Consider the following 20,548-nt stretch of genomic DNA (forward strand, 5'->3'; position numbering starts at 1 on the left):
GATAGTTACATATTTTTCTTTTCTTGAATTTATTTCCTAAAATCCAAACAGAGGAATGAAGGTATGAATTTGTCAATAGGGTAGAGGAGCTTGAAACCGAGGAAGAAGGACAAACAATTTTTAACCTGAACTTCTGCAGATAATTCCAAGTGATTTTTTTAACCTTTCCAAATGGACTCTACAAAAAGTACCAAGTTCCAATGTATCAAAATTGAAACTGAAACCAGTGTCACTTCATGACTCAAGCAAGAGCACTTCCTATCCGAAAACTTCCCTCATATACATAAGCTTTTATTTCTAATTAGTCCTTGAGGAATACCTGTAATCCCTGCTTTCACTACATTCATAAGACAAAACAAATATTACTGAGCCATAAGCCTGAGCAAACAAGCTACTATATTTAAAAGTAGCAGCCCAGATGTCATACTCTATTAGGAAATGAGCAATGCCTAAGTTCTGAGCTGTTTCTGTAACCAAAGGATGTGCACAGCTGAAAAAAATGAAATTATATGAATTCACGTCTTGATTTCCCTGTGCAATGTACTTGTGCTATTTGAATAAGAGTTAATATTCATTTGAATTTTACAGAGATTAGCATTCATCATTTTTACCTGCCTCCTATTTACATATACCCAGATGATATCCATGTGGTTACACAAAACACCATTGTTTTCCTAAAGTCAATTTTAGCATAATTCACTTTCTTAATTACAACCTAAAACTGTAAAGACTTTTCCCAGTCCCTCCACAGAAGAATCTTAAATTTATGACCCTTTTGGTATGAATATGTGTGCTTTTCACTTCATTACAACAACAAGAATGGAACTTTAGGACTCTAGGATCTTAGCACAGGAAGGAACCTTAGATATCTTCTGATCCAACTGCTTCATTTTGTGGATGCGAAAAGTTTAGAGGCCAAAAAACTGTTCCATGGCATATTCGGTATCACATGACTAGTTGAAACACTACGGCCAATAATATAAAATATAATAATATTAGCAGGAACAAAAATCAGTAACAACCTCAAGTATTTACAGTGAGCTTGCAATAAAGCAGGCACTGTACTTTGCAGGCACTGTCTCCTTTAGCCTCCCAATACCTCTAATAGGTAGTATTATTATTGTCTCCATTTAAGGATACGAAAACTGAGGCTTAGAGAGATTCATGTATCTCTACCCTCAATCCCACGACCCCTTTTCCCTCTAGTGTACTCTTCAGGAAGTTACATCAGAATTCTCTATTTGAGTCTTGGCTAGAAGAAACTTTCATTACATGGACCAGTTATTACTGGAGACTTCCTAGATGGGAGACACACTGATGTTTTCGGTCTCACTGAGCCTGCTGCTTTGTGAGACCTCCGAGGGCATAGAGAGAAAAGGAAGCTCCTACAACCTGTACTGCAAGAACTTCAGGAAAAACAACATCTTTCCATAAAAAGTTTCACGTTGCCCTATTATTCAGTTTAAGAAGTTCAGAGCCACTGTTCCATGGGCCTGCCTTTTGTGTTCAATTTGGAGGCATGAAAATACCTTTAGAATTTGTAAATCTCAAGGCAACCGAGTGAAACGCCACCTACCGCAGCAGCTGGAGGGCAGGCCAGTGTTATGCTTTGATAGCCCCCTTTCGATTGTATTAATACAAAGGAAATTAAAAAATAGCATGATTCTCTCCCTTTCTTCTGCTCATGCCCAGCTTTGGATTTTCATAATAGGAGGGTAACATTTAGAGGTCTTTTTTACATTCGTGCACTAACCTGGTACAAATAGAAGTAAGCTGTTTGCTGTTTTCTTTTAGGTGCTCCAAAATATGCATGACTTTAGACCACAAAGTCAGAGAAATACCCTGTTTTATTGTAAAAGTGTAAAGAACTGAGCAAGTGAACTGGCTTTTGGCATGTATTTTCTTGAAGCCTCTATCTCCACCAACTCCTTTTCCTACTGCACCCAGATTCACTTCAGTTTTCCCACAGTTCCAAGCCCACAGTTCCAAGCCCAACTCTGAGAAGGTGCTGAGAAGAGGAAATCCAGTAACTGAATAACAGCCACTCTCTGGACTCTTGCCCCTATTCTTTTTGTATCCTCTAGGGAGCTACAGTGTCACTTACTAGGTGCATGCCCCTGAATGGGTTAATCTTTTCTTTTCCTTATTTCGACAGCCATGTTTACCTTTTGAAAAGGCGAGCAGAGGCACAGTATGGCACTGGAGTGCTAACTGCTAACACATGGGCTATGCTACATCTCGGCAAAAATTTCTCTCATACTTGTACCAGCGTCCCAGCCAAGATCAACACCATGAGTTTGATTTTCTTCATCATGAATTGACAGCTTATTTATCTCCATGGAAGAACTTTCTAAGCCCTTTAGGCACCCAGGCAACTTAGAAGGCATTCAGCTGACTGTTCAAAAATATTATTGCTTCATCAAAAATAGAGACTAAATTATTTCATTCCTGTTAGGCTGTTCTCTTTCTAGAGAGACATTTTAGTGACCCTGAGTTATGATAATAGTTTATAACCAAATACTACAAACGCACACACACACACACACTTTCCAATTGGTATTATATTTTGAAAACCTTTTTAGACCTAATGTTATGCTGACAGTACTAAGTTTTGTGAGGATGCACAATTTCCATGGCTTCCTTTTCCAATAATGGTTGGGAAGCCTCATTAGAATAATTAGGAACGAAGTCATTTCCGGTCGCCATATATTGCTCTGGAAATAATAGCTTCCAGTGCCTGCAAAACCAGCAAGGAATAGAATGCATATGCCAACTCCTGAGTCACAATGGAAAATAACATAACTCCATGTTGCTGTATGGAACCTAAACCAACTGCAACTCTGTCAGGTGCTCACGTCCAAAGAAAACTTGTCACTGCTCACGGGAGAAGTTTAAATCAATTTGCAAGCAGAAGACAACCCAGAAAACACTAACTAATTGATTATGCAAATGCAGAATCCAAAAAGTATTTTCCCTAGTAATAAATCACCTATGACTTTGCAACGAACAGCAATGAGAATATTGACCTGCTTTGGAGTGAGGACAGATCTGTATATATAACTATCAGCAGGAAAAAAATGTATATGAGCATGAGAAAGTGGCATGGGAAGAGAGAGAGGAAAGAGAAAGCTTTACTGGTTAGATTGGAGGGACTTGTGACCACAGAGCCTCCCAAATCAAAGCTAGTGCCCATTTCTCTAAAAGTATCTCTTCAATTAAGGCACTGGTTTCTGGTGTTATGACTTCCACATAACAGTAACAAGAGGAAATATTTACTGAATCCTTATTGTGGGCCAGGTGCCCTGCTAAATGCTATGTCTCATTTAATCTCATTATCTCATTTAACCCCCACAACAACACTATGATGTGGGTATATACTAGTACTGCCTTCATTTTTCAACAAGGAAACTGACACTCAGACGAGTAATTTGAGCAATTTCCCCAAGATCACACATTTCTACTTCTAGCCAGCCTTTTTTTTTTTTTTCCTGAGACAGAGTCTTGCTCTGTCACCCAGGCTGGAGTGCAGTGGAATGATCTCAGCTCACTGCAACCTCCGCCTCCCGGGTTCAAGTGAGTCTCTTTCCTCAGCCTCCTGAGTAGCTGGGATTACAGGGATGTGCCACGGTGCTCAGCTAATTTTTTTATTTTTAGTAGAGATGGAGTTTCACCATGTTGGCCAGGGTGGTTTCAAACTCCCGACCTCAAGTGTTCCGCCTGCCTTAGCCTCCCAAAGTGCTTGCTGGGAGTACAGCTGTGAGCCACTATGCCTGGCCTAGCCAGCCTAAATTTGTTTACACAGTCCTAAAGCCCAATAAACAGAAAAAAAGAATAGATTCTCTTCATTCCAAATTTGCAACCAAAACTCCCAGGATTTTTTTTCTCCTTTGGTCTAGTCTACATCCCTATTATTCACTCTGCTGATTCCTGCCATCCACTCTGCCTTATTATCATCCTCTATGCCCCATCTGTTTTCTGAATGTTTTGTTTGTAAACGTCTGGCATAGGATGGTTGGTTCAGTACAGTATGTAACTGGGCACATATATGTGATCAATGATCACAATGGTGAACATAGAAACTGGAGGCATCTTATATGTCTTCAATGTGGCAACATATGATTCTACCATACACAGTGTTTGCAAGCACATACGCTCAAGGAAGAGAGTACATGCGTCAAGATGGGTTTGGCAAAGAGGCTGTCCTGAGAAAGAGGAAAGTTCAAGTGGAAACACTCTTGGGTGTTTCTACCTGAAAGATAATGAATGTGAGAAAAGAAAGGCACAGAGCAAATATTACAGAACCTCACAGGAAGAAGTTATATAGAAAAGAGCATTGTGTGGAAGGCAATGCTGAGAAGAATAAAATCATGTTGAAAAGTTGTAGGCATTGATAGACATTTGGGATGGTTCCAAGTCTTTGCTATTGTGAATAGTGCCGCAATAAACATATGTGTGCATGTCAGCACACCAACATGGCACATGTATACATATGTAAGAAATCTGCACATTGTGCACATGTACCCTAGAACTTAAAGTATAATAATAATAATAAAAAGAAAAGTTGTAGGCAATTTGAGTTTATTAGAGGAGAAAAGAAACGGACAGGAGGGCACCCCAGCCCTGGAGTAGCCCCGATTTTGAATCTGTGTAGTGAATATTAATCGCTCCTATGGTTGAAATACTTGAGAGCAGAGATTGGGCCACACGCCTTTCTGTGTCTGTCTCTCTCTCTCCCGAACCAGGCTTTCTGGAACATCAGGGCAGGAAGGGTGTTTAGAGATCGCCTGGTACAATCACCTCATTTTACACACACAGAGATGGAAGTGCAGATGGGTTAAAGGACTAGCCCCAAATCACACAACTAATTAATGGCAAGAAGCCCAGCCAGCACAAGAAAACAGGCTATTGACTTTTTGCCTTGTGCACTTCGCAAATCGCCCCACGGCCTCTTTTGGGAGGCTCTTGATAAACACTCACAAAGCGCTGTCAAACTCTGGGTGCTCTGAGAAAGGGAGGATGAGAAGATCCCACAAGTTTCCCACACTCAGCCCCCCGTCTCATGCAGATACTCCATCATGCTTCCTCCACCATCCGTGACTTGCTCACAAGGGTTATAAACTTGATAACCTGAGAAACCGCAGCTTTAGAAAAATGGATAAAGATACCATGAGAGAGCTCAACATTAATGACTTTTAAATAAGGGTCAGTTGGAAATGCGGAAGAAAGAAAATTTCGAAAAATTTATTCTCAATCTGGCCATAAAGATTATTAGGTAAGATGCACACTGTCTTATATACACGCTGGTACATTCCCACACTCCTCTGCCCAGCACGGCACTAAACATATGTACATATTTGTTCGATAGAATCCTTCAAAGTCCTCTCCCTTAGAGTCATTTGCAGATATTTCTCAAACATGATGCAGATCAAAATGCAATATACAAAGTCAGGTAATGTCCCCAGCATCAAATTAAAATAGCTAACCGGCCAACAGATGGCAGCTGAAGCAAATCGCTTGCCGATTTAAATAAGAACGGTGTTCGGTTCAGTTGTGCACATTTTTCTAGACAGAAGTTGACTGCTAAATGAAATCAACTTCAGAGCCCAGTTGTTTGTAGTGTGAAGGGGAAATTACAAAAAACAAAAATGCCTTCTTTGTTCCTGGAACCCGGGGTGATTCACAAGCACGGACATCCCCTGGTCTTCTGATTTTAAATCACTAAGGTGGAAATGTCATTCACCCAGGAGGTTATTGATTAAAATAAAGAGCAGGAATGTTTTCTGCATGAACCTCACTTCTGCTGGCAATGTTACATCACTTACAGACTGCAAAGAAGAAGAAGAGGGGAAAAAAAAACACAGTAAAGAGAGGAAGGTTCAGAACAGTCACAGACTGGGAATAAATAACACAAAGAAACTCTGGGGCCTGAGGACAGAAGCAGAGGTTGGCATTATTTTACATTAGAAACACTTCGTATTCAAAACGGTAATTGATAGCAGAGAAGTGTTGGGGGAAAGAGCCACTCGCGTTCAGGCAGGCTGCCCTGCCAATCAAACTCAACCTTTCTTTGAATGAATAAAAGCTTCATTGCCCTATTATGCTGATACAGTCAGACAGGACTAAAGTAGCCTGTTTGTCAAGTTTATGTGAACTGCCCCAAGCTACTTAGATTCTGACGCTTAAATAATCCCCTCAAAATCACCCGTGATTCTGGATACAGTTCTCTTTTTTAGCAACGCAGTGTAAATTTTACCCTGGACTTGCCTGCCCCTGGCTACAGATGGGCAAGAGGGGGCCATACCTCCTCCTCTGTGTTAGTACAAGGAGGGCATTTGGCTGTCTTTTGTTTACGATCTGCTGCGGTGCTGAAGTGCTCTGCACACAGGTCTGTATGTGCTGCGGGCTGTCTGAAGCCTGCAGACATTCACCAGATTCTATATTCCCAGCTCTATGGGAAGTCAGCATAGAGAAGTCTCCACATCACCTCTCTTGTCATCAGGGATATGGGCTAAATAGCACCAAACCTTGCTTGCAACCAAGTGATCAATGAAAACTGAAGAGCCTGGGGGATGTTTGCTTCCTTGGTCCCAATCCTTGTCTGCTTCCAGCAGCAAATCAGTGATTTGGGCTCAGGGAGGACTGGAAGGTTACACTGCACCCCAACCAGCAATGCAGGGATTCTCAGGAGTGACTTCAGGCCCTGGGGGCAGGAGGGGCTCAGAAGAGCTAAAAATGAATCTGTCCCCCACCTCCCTTCACAGGGCTATGTGTCTTTGACTTCCCTAGTTGCTTCTGCTTAAAAATACATGTGACGAAACTGCTTTGTATTTGCAAAGAAGGAGTTGTGGGTAACAATGAACATGCAATTGGGCTGGAAATAGATTTATCAGGCTTCAAGGATTATTGTTTGCTGAGAGATGGTACACACATTACTATTTCACAGTTCAGCTATGACATTATTAACCTACTGTGCAAGGATTTTATTGCCAGATTGGTCCATTTATCAAAAATAAGAGAAACTCAAAACCCCATAAGGAAGTTAACATTTCAAGCAGGCTTGGCTTTCACTTAACACCATTAATCTATCTATTTACACAAGAGCAAGAAATGTTCATTTAGTAACGTCTCTCCATTTGGTATAAAAGCAGCAAGTCGGTACTGGATGCAAGCATGCGAATGTCATGCTCATTGTCACAGGAAAAATGAGTGTTTTCTCCTTAAAATGAGTTGGCATCCCCAGAGCCTGCCACGTATTCTGGGCTGCAATATGCTAGATGCCAGGTACTCAACCAGCAAAGGGATAATCCAAGTCCTGGAACATTTACAGACCCAAGCTAGAAAGATAGGTGTTGGAGAAAGGTATACAGAAATTAGGAGACTTTCCTAATTATTTTGTGACAATACAAGATAAAAATATGCAAAGTTTCTCGAAGGAAAAATAACTGTGTCCAACCTTATCACAACAATGAGTCCTTAAAATAAAAAAGGATAGGAAAGTAATGGTCAACAACTCAGTAATTCCAAGATGCAAGTGATTTGGGACTGGAAAGATGGTAGTCTTTTAACATATCTTCTCCAATAGGAGGTTTCGATAGCACAGGGATATTCATGGAGCAATACATGTTGCTGTGTTACACACCATCGAGCACCTCGCACTGCAGGTGCACCCCAAGACGGTGCAGAGCCCCGCTGTTCATGTGTGAATCTGCATGACTGTGTTAGGAATTTATTTATCTGTGGGTAAAGACACAGGCCTTGAAAGAAAGAAAAAGGGGGTGAATCATTCCATTTCTATTTGTTAACCTCTCTTGTGTTTCTTCCTTCATTCCTCTTGTTTTACTATTTCTTTATGGAAGAGGAGACAATCCCCAAGCCCATAAAATGCCTGCAGCCATTTTGATCCTATCAGTCTTTTTTCTTCAAAATATGTATGTAATGTTAAAAAAAAAAGTGAAGGGAAGCTGTCACCAGAGAGAGGTACATTCATTTTTGAAATGTGTGTATCTGTGTCTGTGTGTATATACATGTATGCATAGATACAAATGTTTGTGTATATACACACATAATACACATAAAACATGAATGTCCCTTTTTCTGGCGACAGCTTTTCTTCACTTTACAGGAACATATATATACATACATACATGTGTATATATATACACACACATACATGCATGTATATATATATATACACATACATACATGTATATATATACATACATACATGTGTGTATATATATACATACATACGTATATATATATATACACATACACATATCAGTATAAAGAAACGCATACCCAGGTGATGCAGAGAGTTAATAACACATTCAGCATGCCCCACCGTGCACTCCCTACTAAAAGGCACTGTGCTCGCTTGAGTGCTAAGTGCTCCAGAGATGGTAGCCTTGAATCAGCACCAGGAACTATGCTGAGGATATTACAAACATTACCATCTCCAAGTCTCACAATCCTATGAGAGTAGTTAGCCCCGTTTTACAAGTAGGGAAGTTAAGGCTTTGGCAGGTTACGCAGCTTACTCAATTCACAGCTGATAAGCCACTGAGCCTGGGTTCCACCAGATGCCAAAGCCTGTGTGTCTCCTTCCCTACTGTTCAAAGCATTTTACTCTGGCACTGTGTGAAGAACCAAGGAAGATACGAAGATAAAAAAGCGGTCCTTGCCCTGGAGGAGCTCACAGTCTATTATAAGAGCCATATATACTACTAACAAGGCAGAAACTAACAAACCTCCCAGCACAGCAAAAAGTTAGGAAGCACATAGCAAACTCAGCACTGCCTTGGGAACCGAGATGTCTTCAGGGAAGCTGCGCACTCCAACACACACAGCAACTTTTCTCTAGTATGAACCTGTTACAGCAGGTACACAAACACCCTGCACCCTGTAAAGTTTCTGGCACAATACTATTATTTGCTAACATTTTTCTATCCTGACAGCTTAAGTCACTGTTGTCATATTTTCAGAGACTTATTTTGGTTCAAAGAACAGAATAGCTGCTGTGACACTAAATCAAGTGTCATCCATTTCAATTTGATCAGAATCATCTTAGCAAAATACAGTAAGTGAGGCATAGTGGAATAAATGAGGAGGTGAAAGTCAGAGAGATCTCGGTTTATTCCTGACTCTAACAAGTACTTGATTATACCCTCTTTTGTAGATGAGAAATATGAATCTAGGGAGTTCTGTGAACACTTTAATACACCTCTCAAATTCTTTTAATCTCACTTTTCTCATCTGTAAAATGAAAATAATACATTCAATAAGCATCTATTTAGCACTAATTACTTGCCAAGCACCATGCTCACTGCTGAAGACATAAAAATGAAAAAAGGTAGGCAAGGTAGCCCTCAGGACAGGGGAAAGTTGAAGAGACAGCTGGAATGCTGTGTGAGAGTGCTTTTAGGTGGAACACAGGGCACAACAGGAAGGTGCAAGAGACACACCCGACTCAGCCTTTGGGGGTATGTCAGAAAAATCATCATGACAGAGTTTAATCCTGAGTGCAATTCTGAAACAGCAGCAAGAACAATACTGATCATCATTATTATACTACTAATATTAAATTAATTGCTTACTCTATGATAGAAAATATCTTACATAATTTATGTCTCTTCATCCATTTGTGCTTATTGACAGGAAAAGTAGGTAGTATTATCCATAATTTAAAATGAGGAATTGAGACACAGAGAAATTAAAATTTACCCAAAGTCACCCAGCTACTGAGAGGGAGATCCAGGATTCAAATGCAGGTGGCCTAACTCTACATTCATACCCAGAGCTTCTGTGCTATTTGTCTCACAAATGGAGAGAAGGGGTGCTCCAGGCAGCAGATGCAGCATGTGCAAAAGCACACCTGCCTGAGGTTAAAGGCCCACTCCTGCAACTGCAGGGAGCTCAGTGTGGTAGGAGGCCAGGTCTATGACTGTTTGGGGATGCAGAGGAAGGAGACATAAGCCCAGGCTGACCACTGAAGACACAGGCAATTTGCTTATGCATCTAAAGTTCATCCAGATGACAATGGGAAGACATGGAAAAGTTTCAGCCAGAAGATGATGTTTTAGAAGCAGCCCTCTGGCTGTCACGTGGAAGACAAATTAAAACGGAGCCACATAAAAGGAAAGGGGAACAGTGAGAAGACAGTCACAGTTGTCAGAGTGGAAAATAAAGAGGACACGAGAAAGAGAAGTGGACGCAGGCAAGAAATGTTAAGTCAGTAATGCGGTCAGGAGTTAATGACAGACTAAATAAGGGTGACACCCTTGCTTTGGGCTGATGGAGCTGCCTGGGTGGTGGTACTATTGGTTCAGTGATATTCAGAGGATCAGTTAATCATGCACACATTGCAGGGGTATTACAAGGAGCAGAAGCAACCCACACAATCATCATCATATCATCAGAGTTTATTGAGCACCTGCTATGGGCCAGGCACTCCACTACCACTTTGTCCACCTCTGCTCATCAAATCCTCAACAATGACTCTGCAGGAAAGATACTGGCTCCATTACAGATATGGAAACAAGGTCCACAATGTCTGGGCAAGTCATTTAAATGTCATCCTACCAAGTGTCAGAATTAGGACTCAAACCTGGGTCTGCCAAGCACCGAAGGCTATGTCAACCATTATTCTCTGCCATGATGTTCTCTGTTGTTTTCAGTTTTCTCTTCCTAGCATAGAAAAATGTCAGAAAATATGTGATCAAATGTAGCAGGTATATTCTGCAAAGTACCTGTTGAAATTGCTTCTCTGCCTCTGCCCTCCCTACAACTTCCCCCAAGTCTCACTCCAAGTACAGTTTGAAGGAGGTTGTTCTAAGGCAGGAGGAGGAAAGGAGCCTGGCCTTGCTGGCAGTGCTGGGTGTGAATGGGAAGGTGTGCCACTCCCTTTGCCCAACTCTTCTGTCCTAATCCTTAGAGGAATCCATCAATTCCTACCTTCCAGATTATCTACAAGGATACAGCTATTGTCTATGCAGCCTGTTAGAAGCAAAGTCATAATTCAAGGCATGCCTGTCATCAAAATGTTGCATTGGAAAAGCTGTGTGGACCAGTGGCTAAACCACAAGTTTTACAAACCCAACAGACGCTCCTTGCATTGGCAAATCAAAAGCTGGTCTGAAGCCAGATGCTCAGTGTCTTCCAGCAATCCTCATCAATAACTGACACATTCCATGCTATTTCTGAAGTATAACATTCCAAGTTAGATAGATAGGCATTTGCTCTGCACTGGTGTTTTCGAGTCCAAAGGATTCACAAATACATTCTTTAGATTAAAGCATTTCTGTACAGATTTGGGGGTAAAAGAGGGTTTTCACCGCATGGAACTCCAATCCCAAACCCTCTGTCTATCTTAAACTAATATAAAGTAAGTCATGTTTCTGTTTCTCTTTCAAAGATTTACTTCTAGCCAGATATTTACATAAGGTAATGCTGCCTACATACTAGGAGATTAACAACATGTACAGCCAGTTTGAGAAAATGCATACTTATTTTAAATTCAAAACACAGATGGGATGATTATTTTCTTTACAAAAGGAGACTTAGGCTGGGCATGGTGGCTCATGCCTGTAATCCCAGCACTTAGGGAGGCCAAGGCAGGCAGACCACCTGAGGTCAGGAGTTCGAGACCAGCTTGGCCAACACGGTCTCTACTACAAATACAAAAACTAGTTGGGTGTGGCGGCGGGCACGTGTAATCCCAGCTACTCAGGAAGCTGAGGCAGGAGAATTGCTTGAACCCAGGAGGTGGAGGTTGCAATGAGCCGAGATCGTGCCATTGCACTCCAGCCTGGGCAACAAGAGAGAAACTCCATCTCAAAAAAAAAGAGAGACTTTATATTAACAGAAGAGGACACCACAGATGTAGAAACCTAGATTCTTCAAAGGCCCCAGTTTCAAATATTCAGTCTTTTTTGGGCACACCAATTGGCAAAAACAAATTGGTACTTAACATTTCTTTTCAATGACTCAGCAAATGAATGGCTTCTGTTCTGTTGTCGTAACTTTTTTAGACATATAGGACCATATGTCTCTATTTTCATTCGAAAAATATGGCCAATAAAACCTAACAGGTACAGAGACATCTGCTGAATTATAACAGCCAAGCCGAAGATACATCTTTTCCTTGTCAATAACTTAGAAATTCTTTGATCCTAAAAATAAACCACAAAGTTTACCATCAACCACCCTAGATTTTAAAAATTGGCTTCAATGTATACGTCCTTTCTTCAGAAACAGCCATTGTAGAAAACAACTGTAATGTTGTTGCAAAATTCTTGGGCCTAGAATTAGTGAGCTTCACGCTAAGGCTCATCTCTGAGATGTCCTGTTTCTCAGAAGCAGTTTTAACTAAATTTCATATTTAATAAATATTAATAATACATACTATTAAATAAAATGTATACATTTTGCCAGACAATTCTTAAGAAAAGCATATGGGCAAGGTACCATTGTGAATGACAACCTTCACGGTCAGGTTCCACCTGCATCCTCAACAAGCTTCTCTGTGATTGGAAGCGTCTTTTATACTCCTCTATTTATTTTCACTTTAACCCAGTATTCTAGAAGTGATTTCTACTCCATTTTCTATTGCCCAGTAAGATTCACTTCAGTGGGAGACTGGGTTATGAAAAAATATATTTAAAGCATTCATGTTTATGATTCAAAGAGTGGGGGGAAAAGCCTTACCTTGAGCTCTGAAAAGTTTGCCAACACATTTCCAGGGTTTAAGGTGAAGAATGATTTCTGTTTTGCCTCAATATGAATTGCAAAATTCAAATGATTAACCTCACCATGGGGCTCTCTGTTTCCAGGGCAAACAGGAGAAAGGACTGTTTCTCTGCTTAAACCTCTAAATCAGTCTGCTTGGAGTAAAGCTGGCAGGTGAGGGCTCGGCAGAAGTCACATCCTTTTCTCATCAAAACCTTACAAATTATTTATTTGATTAGGAAAGAGACGCCACAAAAGGCAACATATATTGACAGTTACCACCACTAAGTTCTTTTTCCGTTTTTCCTAGTTGGTGAAGAAATGAAAGAGCCTCTTAAAATTCACTCCTCATTTTTTATTCGTGTGTGTGTGTGTGCGTGCGTGTGTGTGTGTTTGTTGTGTGTATATTGTGGAATCAATGTCTGACTTAATATCAAAATACCAGAAAGAATACTGACTATGGCTAGCATGTATTATGGCTAATAAAATGTAACTGGGCCAAATTGTTCTCAGAGAAAGTTGTGTACATTCATTCCTAAGAGGCAAGAATGTGAACCTAGTATAGAGTCATAAAAGTAATAAATCTACATAGCTACAGAAAGCTTTCACAGCCAATGTGCTAAATTTGTTCAGTGAGTTGTCAAGAAAACATTTTCTATGACTATATCTTTTCAATTTAAAATAAATACCTCCACCAGATCCCAGTAAAAATTGACAAATTATATTAAAGACCATGGAACTGGTACTGATACATTTTGAATAGAGGAGAAGTCTGCAGTGGGAAAAACAATAACCAAAAAGGTTTAATTTGTGTCTCGATATGAATTTACTCCTTCATATCTCCACTACTGCCCTATCATCCCTCCCATAATGCAATTCTCCTCCAGCCTCTGCCACTCCAGGAACACTCACCACCATCTCCATCTATTAACCTAGGGTTCTCTTCCTCCTTCTTCCTCTTCATCTTCCCACCAGATTTTCCTCCTGCTATCTTCCCTGTCATAGATGTGTCCTCTCCCAATCAACACAAGCAGAATTTTCTTCCCTTTACTTCTCCCACCAATATGTTGAATAATTCTCTTCCTTTCCTGCTCCCATCCCATCCATGTATTTAGGTATTAAGTTCCCACTGATTACTTTAGGGTTTTTTCCCCACATATGTTCCCCACTGAGAAAGACTTGTAACACTTGTAACACTACCAAAACTACCCTGATTTCCCACAACTTCAAACTCCACCATTTAGAAAGTGGCCAGGATTCTATAATGCTAATTTAAACACCTAATACTGTATGCCTGGCCTATGGTAAGCATTCAACAAGTACTTGTGGAATAAACCACATCTAAATCAATAGATGGGGATGGCAAGTGGTGAGGATGGGGAGACAGTACTTGCAAGTGGGATATGGCAAGAAGGACCCTGGAAAATTCTGCTGAGGACAGTATTTAGCCAGCTTTTCAGTTGGAGCAGCTAAAGGATCCACTTTGTCATTCTACTTAGGTTTCTTGAGGTTAAAATTTTAAAAATAAATTTGTACAAGTCCTAGCAATTCCTCTACTGCTTAATGTTATATACAGGAAAAATTAAGGAAAAAAACCTCAATGATGGCAAAGCTGAGCAGAAAGCTTGAGAATAAGTACATCTAAGTTATTTATGATGCTGAGCTACGAGAATGGGATTCTAGCCTCTGTTATCCCTAATTCATTAGTGAAACTGGACAACTAAAGGTTTCTAGAATCTAGAGCAGAAAAGCTTCACAAATTATTTGCTCAGATGTTCCATTTTACAGATTAGACCCAGAGGGATTAAGGGAATATGTGTGAAGTCATGGAATGAGCTACCAGCAGAGTCAAAGCCAACATCTAGGTCTTCTCTACTCCTCTTCTGCAGTTGGTCCTCCTTATCTATGGGGTTTCACATCCACAGATTCAACCAACCACAAATCAAAGATATTCAAACAATAAACAATGATACGAAAATAAAATAAATGTTTAAAAATACAGTATGGCAACAATTCACATAGCATTTACATTGATTTGGGTATTTTAAGTAATATAGAGATTAAAGTATACGGGAGAATATGCCTAGGTTATATGCAAATATTATGACATTTTATATAAAGGATTTGAGCATCTGCAGATTTTGTTATCCAAGGGGGCATGCTGGATCCAATCCCCCACAGATACGGAAGGACAACTATAATAATATCCTCCTGTCTAATCCCCTAGGTTGTTGTGAGAATGCGTAAAATGAAAATATATATGCTAGATATAAAAAAATTGTGCAAAGCTAAAACTGTCACACAGGGATATTTTAAGAGTTTTTTCCCTAAATGTTACACTTACTTAATTTTTTAAAAATGTTTAATTCCTGCTGTCTGGCCACTAGGCCTTTATTCAATGTGGTAATTATGCTTTCCTACAAAGAATGTCAAAGATGATCCGCATTTGCTTATTCATTTAACAGCCCTTATCCTCATATATTTAATTCCAAAACAAATAGCCACCAGCCACTTCTACATGCCTCTCAGAACCATGCAAACTTCTCAACGAGCTCCATTAATCTTTTAATTTTCTTTTCTAAAGACACAGACCTTTTTCCTGTCTGAACCATGGGACTCCTATAGCATTATCTTACATACCTCAGTCATTTCTTTCTCATTGTTACAAATGGAGACAAGAACTGAGAGCAGCATTAGAGTAATTTCCTCCAGGTTACTGTATATTCAATACTTCTATTTATACTTTTCATTTTGTCTGCTGCCTTTGTTTTTGGTCCTTCCCCGAAGCCCCCGCCACCCTGCTGCTAAGCCTGGTATCAAATATACAAGAGTTTTATATACTGAAGTTGAGATGATGTCATTTTCCCTTTACTTGGGAATGGATCACTTTTGAAAGTGTAGGTTTTCTATTTAACATTTTAAAATAAAACTCAATCAGCTTTGATGGTATTAGTTCTACCTCCTTTTAGCCAAGTCCTCAGGAAATGCTTTACTGCATCCTGGGCTAGTGTCTACCTTATTATGGAAACTATTTGTTTTCTTCCCCTTGCCTGAAACATCAAAGATAAATAAAACAACTTGACTGTTGAGCATAAGACAGATTTTCTGTCCACTCAGGAAGTTAATCCACAAGTGAAACTGGTATGTTACTCTGTCTTCCACAAAAGAATCACAGGTTATCCTGAAGTGAGGAGGTATTGAAGTTCACGATTTCCCACGGTACATAATTTAGTTTTGTGTGTGTTTGTTTGTTTTAGTTTGAGCACAACAATGCTTTCTGATTTGAGAGGTTGGCATTTTTAAAACCCTATGTCTCTCTCTTGCCACTGCCTTCTTTTGGCTTCAAGACATCATTTCTGTATGTAGCCAACTTCTGCAGTTAGAAAACTAAGTGCAGTGGTCTCTGAGCAACGAAAATTGATTTCAGTGGGAACTGTGTCCCTGTAACTGTAGGAAGAAGCTCATCCTTCTCTTATGGTAACAAAATCCTCTTCCCTTTTTATTGATATATATGTGTATTTTTCCCCTAATGCCCACTTCCCTGCAAGCAAAAAATAAATCTCTCCAGCATCTCTCCCCTGTTATTTCCTTTGGATTCGAAGTAGACCCAGTGCTAAAGTCTGGCCATTTCCAGAGCCATCACTTTCCCAGGTCTCAACTTTGGGCTAATCTTTATTTCTCTGGTAATTTTCCTTCTTAGAGCCAGCTAGTGTATATGCATATATATGTGTGTGTGTGTATGTCTATGTGTATATATGTGTGTAAATTGTAAATTACATAGGTATGTTTACGCATACGTATGTGTGTGCTGTAGACACACACAATATTTAGCCATTTCTTGGCTCAGTTAAGTCTCCTTGGCAAGGTTTTGAATGTTCAACTCTCTCTTACTCTATAGTTTTCCAGTTCCTATGAACTAGAAATTTCTTTTGGTATTTCAGTTTTTATTCTTCTGGTCTCACTGACAAACAAATGATGCAAAGCTCAATATTGTCTTTATTTTTAAAAAATATTTATTTATTTATTTATTTTTGCCAATGAGTTACCATTCACCTAAGAGCTCCCCTTGTTCTATATGCACAGTCAACATAGCCTTTATGGATTTCATCCACAATTGCTGTGATTGTGTAACATACCAGGGAATACTATCTTCCAAAGATATTTCCCTTCATTTTATTCCTATATGCACACACACACACATACACATACACACACATATTTATAGTCCTTCCTAAGTTTAATATTCTATTCAACAATATTTTACTCTTCCACCGTTATATACAGGTTAAGCATCCCTAATCCAAAAATCTGAGGCCAGGCACAGTGGCTTATGCCTGTAATCCCATCACTTTAGGAGGCTGAGGCAGGCGGATCACTTGAGATCAGGAGTTTGAGACCAGCCTAACCAACATGGTGAAACTCCATCTCTACTAAAAATACAAAAACTAGCCGGTTGTGGTGGTGCACACCTGTAACCCCAGCTACTCGGGAAGCTGAGGGAGGAGAATTGCTTGAACCCGGGAGGCGGAGGCTTCAGGGAGCCAAGATTGTGCTACTGCATTCCATCCTGGATGACGAAACAAAAAAAACCAAAGATCTCAAATCCAAAATGCTCCAAAATATGAGCTTAAGTGCCAACATGACACAAGTGGAAAATTCCACTCCTGGCCTCATGCGATGGGGTCGCAGTCAAAACTTCGTTTCATGCACAAAATTATCTAATATATTGTATAAAATTGCCTTTAGGCTATAAGTTTAAGACATATATACATAAAATATATTTTGAACTTAGACATGGGTACAATCCCCATGATATCTTTGATGCATAAACAAGCTCTTAAAATTCTCCATCCTGAGCAGACCTCATGATATGACTTTTCCTGGTAAGACATTTTACAAAAAAAGAAAGAAGTGGTGCACTCAATTTCTATTCTTATTTTTTATTATTTTTAATTTCAAGCCATAATGATTTTGCTCACTCAGCACCTACTCGAAGCGCCCCTTTTACTTTGATTTTTTTTCTAACCCTTACTTTATACATAAGGTTATTCCTTTGGCTTCATTTCTGCTAGCCTGACACGTTTCTTCTTTGCTGATCTTTTCTAAACAGTTTATGTCCCACAATATTTATCCTTCTCCCTCACACACCATTCATTTCCATTACTCACTCTCTGATTTGGCTATACCCATCATTTCTGAAATAGAGAATGCCTGAACTTCTTTGAAAATCCACATGTCAAAATGTAATAAAAATGTTTTCATTGTTACATTGTTTTAAGAGAAATGAATGGCTTGCTCAACCATCAGTTCCAAATTTATATTCAATTTTGGGAATATATATTATTAAGCCTTTTTTCTCTTCCCCTGGTTATAAAATACTCAACTTGACTCTGTAGTCTTGCATGGCTGGGATTAGGAGTTAAGGCATTCCTTATAAATCAGTGTAATCTTCACAACAGGACATTGCTGTATCGAGAATTCCTCTCTGTATTGTGCATTTTCAATTATGTTACATGTTTCTACTTAGTAAGCCAGCTTAATTCTACGCTATGTCACAATATTAGAACATGTCCAGGTTAGAAAAAGGGGCAATCTTACTTCTCTTGTAAGTTGTTTAGCCTTTGGCACTTATAAATCCCCCCAAAACACAGGGGAAATCCCTTTTCCTTGCTTTTAATATGTCTTTAGATTTATTACATGAAGAATCTGCTCACTTAATCCTTTGCTGAGGCCAAGGCTCGTCAGTCTTCTAATAAAGGTTCCACGAAGAGAAAGGAAGAAAACAAAATCACAAAATAGGTGTTCAAGGGATGCTTCAAACTTAAAACACATTTCCAAGTATATTCTCCACAAGACAGACAAGAAGAGGCAGGAGACTTTAAGTTACTCTGCATAAATCCAGCCCCATTTATCTTCAGCTTTCTTTCTAGACAGTCCAGTCAGGGCAAGCAAGCAGGGAAGAGGCTGAAGGGCTCTTCGGGGACCAAATTACAGTTTCAAAATGGTTCTTGTGTTCCAGGTGTAGGACAATGTTATCTGAGAAATCTTACAAAGATTTGGTGTTCTTTAAAGAGCTCTGTTAAAACATTTAAAATGATCAAAGATTACATCATTAAAAAAGGAGGGAAGTGAGGTTGAGAAGCTTTATTTAAAATATGTTTTAAGCAGTTCTGGCCCAAATACTAAAACTCCTGCAAATGAATGAAGGAAAAAAAGGTCACTAAAATAAAAAATTAACATATCCTTTAAAATGTCACTTCCAAGTTCCCAGCAAACATGGCAGAGTCCACAGAGTATTGATTGCATCATGAAATAATCATTAAATTTCTCTATGCATTTCTGATACCAAAATTTAATAATGGGACAATATTATTCTTTGAATCAAATCTATTTTGGATCTTTTTTCAAGCTTGAGTTAGGGAAGAGGCCATTGAATTTTTTTTCTTTGGTTCTTAAAAATCCTCTCTATGCACAAACATGAGAAAATAAAAAATAGAAGGCAGATAAATAAAAAGTAAAATCTTTTAATGCCTAAATATGTCTTTATCCTTTTCAGGTTTATTTTTCTCCCCCTTTTTTACTCATACTCCTGAAACTACCCTGGGTTAAGTTCCATCAAGTGGCAGATTAGTTTCCATGATGCTAAAAAGGTCCCAATTACTTGCGGCATGTAGAGTGACCCATCCTTCAAAACTCAAACCAGATATCACCTCCTCGTTGTTTTACAGGCAAGATTAGTTGCTCTTTCAACATCACAGAGAAGAGCAGGAAGTGTGGCAGAAGAAATATAGGAACTTGGCCATTTACTGTGTCACCTGGACAGGTAATCCAACGTCCCTGTGTTTCCATTTCCTTATCTGTAAAATGGGACTCATGCTTGCCCTGCTGATTTCAATGGGCTTTTACAACAATCAGATGGGCCAGTGCACAGAAAAGCTTTATAAAGTATCAATTCGCCCACATCTCTAAGCCAACAGTCCCTTATCTGGTTTCCTTTAAGAAGCCAGGTATGTTTCAGAATGCAGAACCCTTTAGATTTTAGAAAGTTAATGTTACATATACTATATATACTGTATATTATGTAACAACCCATCAGTGAAATATATAAATATGAACATTAAATAGGACAAAGATTATAATGAATGCCAAAATCAATTTCAGTCTATAAGAATCTTGTCCAAATTTATTTACCATTGTCCAAATTTATTTACCAGCTGAGGAGAACAGATGATCATTTTCCCTTGTAGGACTATGAACATCAATAATAAGTCAGATGCCAGGTAGGAAATGTTGGACACCAGCACTATTCATTGAGCATTCATTATGCACAGAGTACTCAGTACAGCACTTTGAAAAAGAATAAAAACGCAGTAAAAAAATAACATTTAGCCAGGTTCAACAGCAGATGGATTGCTTGAGCCTAGGAATTTGAAGCCAGCCTGGCAACATAGCGAGGCCCTGTCTCAAAATAAAATTGTAACGATAATATTTGTTTGGCTATTCTATAATAAAAATCGTGATGAAAATAAAGTTAATACTAATATCAGTGGACATTTACAGAGTACTTACTATACGTCCTAAGCATTCTACATGTATTATCTCATTTAATGGTCACAATAATCGATGCCAAATATTATGCATAATCTACAGACAAGAGGCTGGGCCAGAAAGAAGGAAAGTCATCTGCCCTGCCCAGGTCAGTGACTAAAGACAATGCTATCATTCTACTGGGACACCATCAATAAACCAAATACTTCCTGAGAGGAGAATGGTAAGCAATTCAGATCAGGAGGAGTGACCTGGCCAAAGGAGATTCTGAAGCCTG

The 20,548-nt window shown here is 39.3% G+C and overlaps 1 protein-coding gene across 28 annotated transcripts in view, besides 1 other annotated feature; it reads right to left on the reverse strand.

The window, feature by feature from the left end:
- The window catches only part of EBF1 (EBF transcription factor 1), a 403,997-nt gene that overhangs the window by 179,252 nt on the left and 204,197 nt on the right, over nt 1–20,548 (reverse strand). The gene's annotated exons all lie outside the window — the stretch shown is intronic.
- Nucleotides 6,251–6,430: an enhancer, noted in NCBI's record as "active region_23536". NCBI's record gives its function as "activates an Ori minimal core promoter by ATAC-STARR-seq in GM12878 lymphoblastoid cells {active_cell/tissue: GM12878}" and the evidence as "EXISTENCE:reporter gene assay evidence [ECO:0000049][PMID:35858748]".

This window comes from Homo sapiens, chromosome 5 (assembly GCF_000001405.40).
Source record: "Homo sapiens chromosome 5, GRCh38.p14 Primary Assembly".
In the NCBI taxonomy this organism is placed as follows: domain Eukaryota; kingdom Metazoa; phylum Chordata; class Mammalia; order Primates; family Hominidae; genus Homo; species Homo sapiens.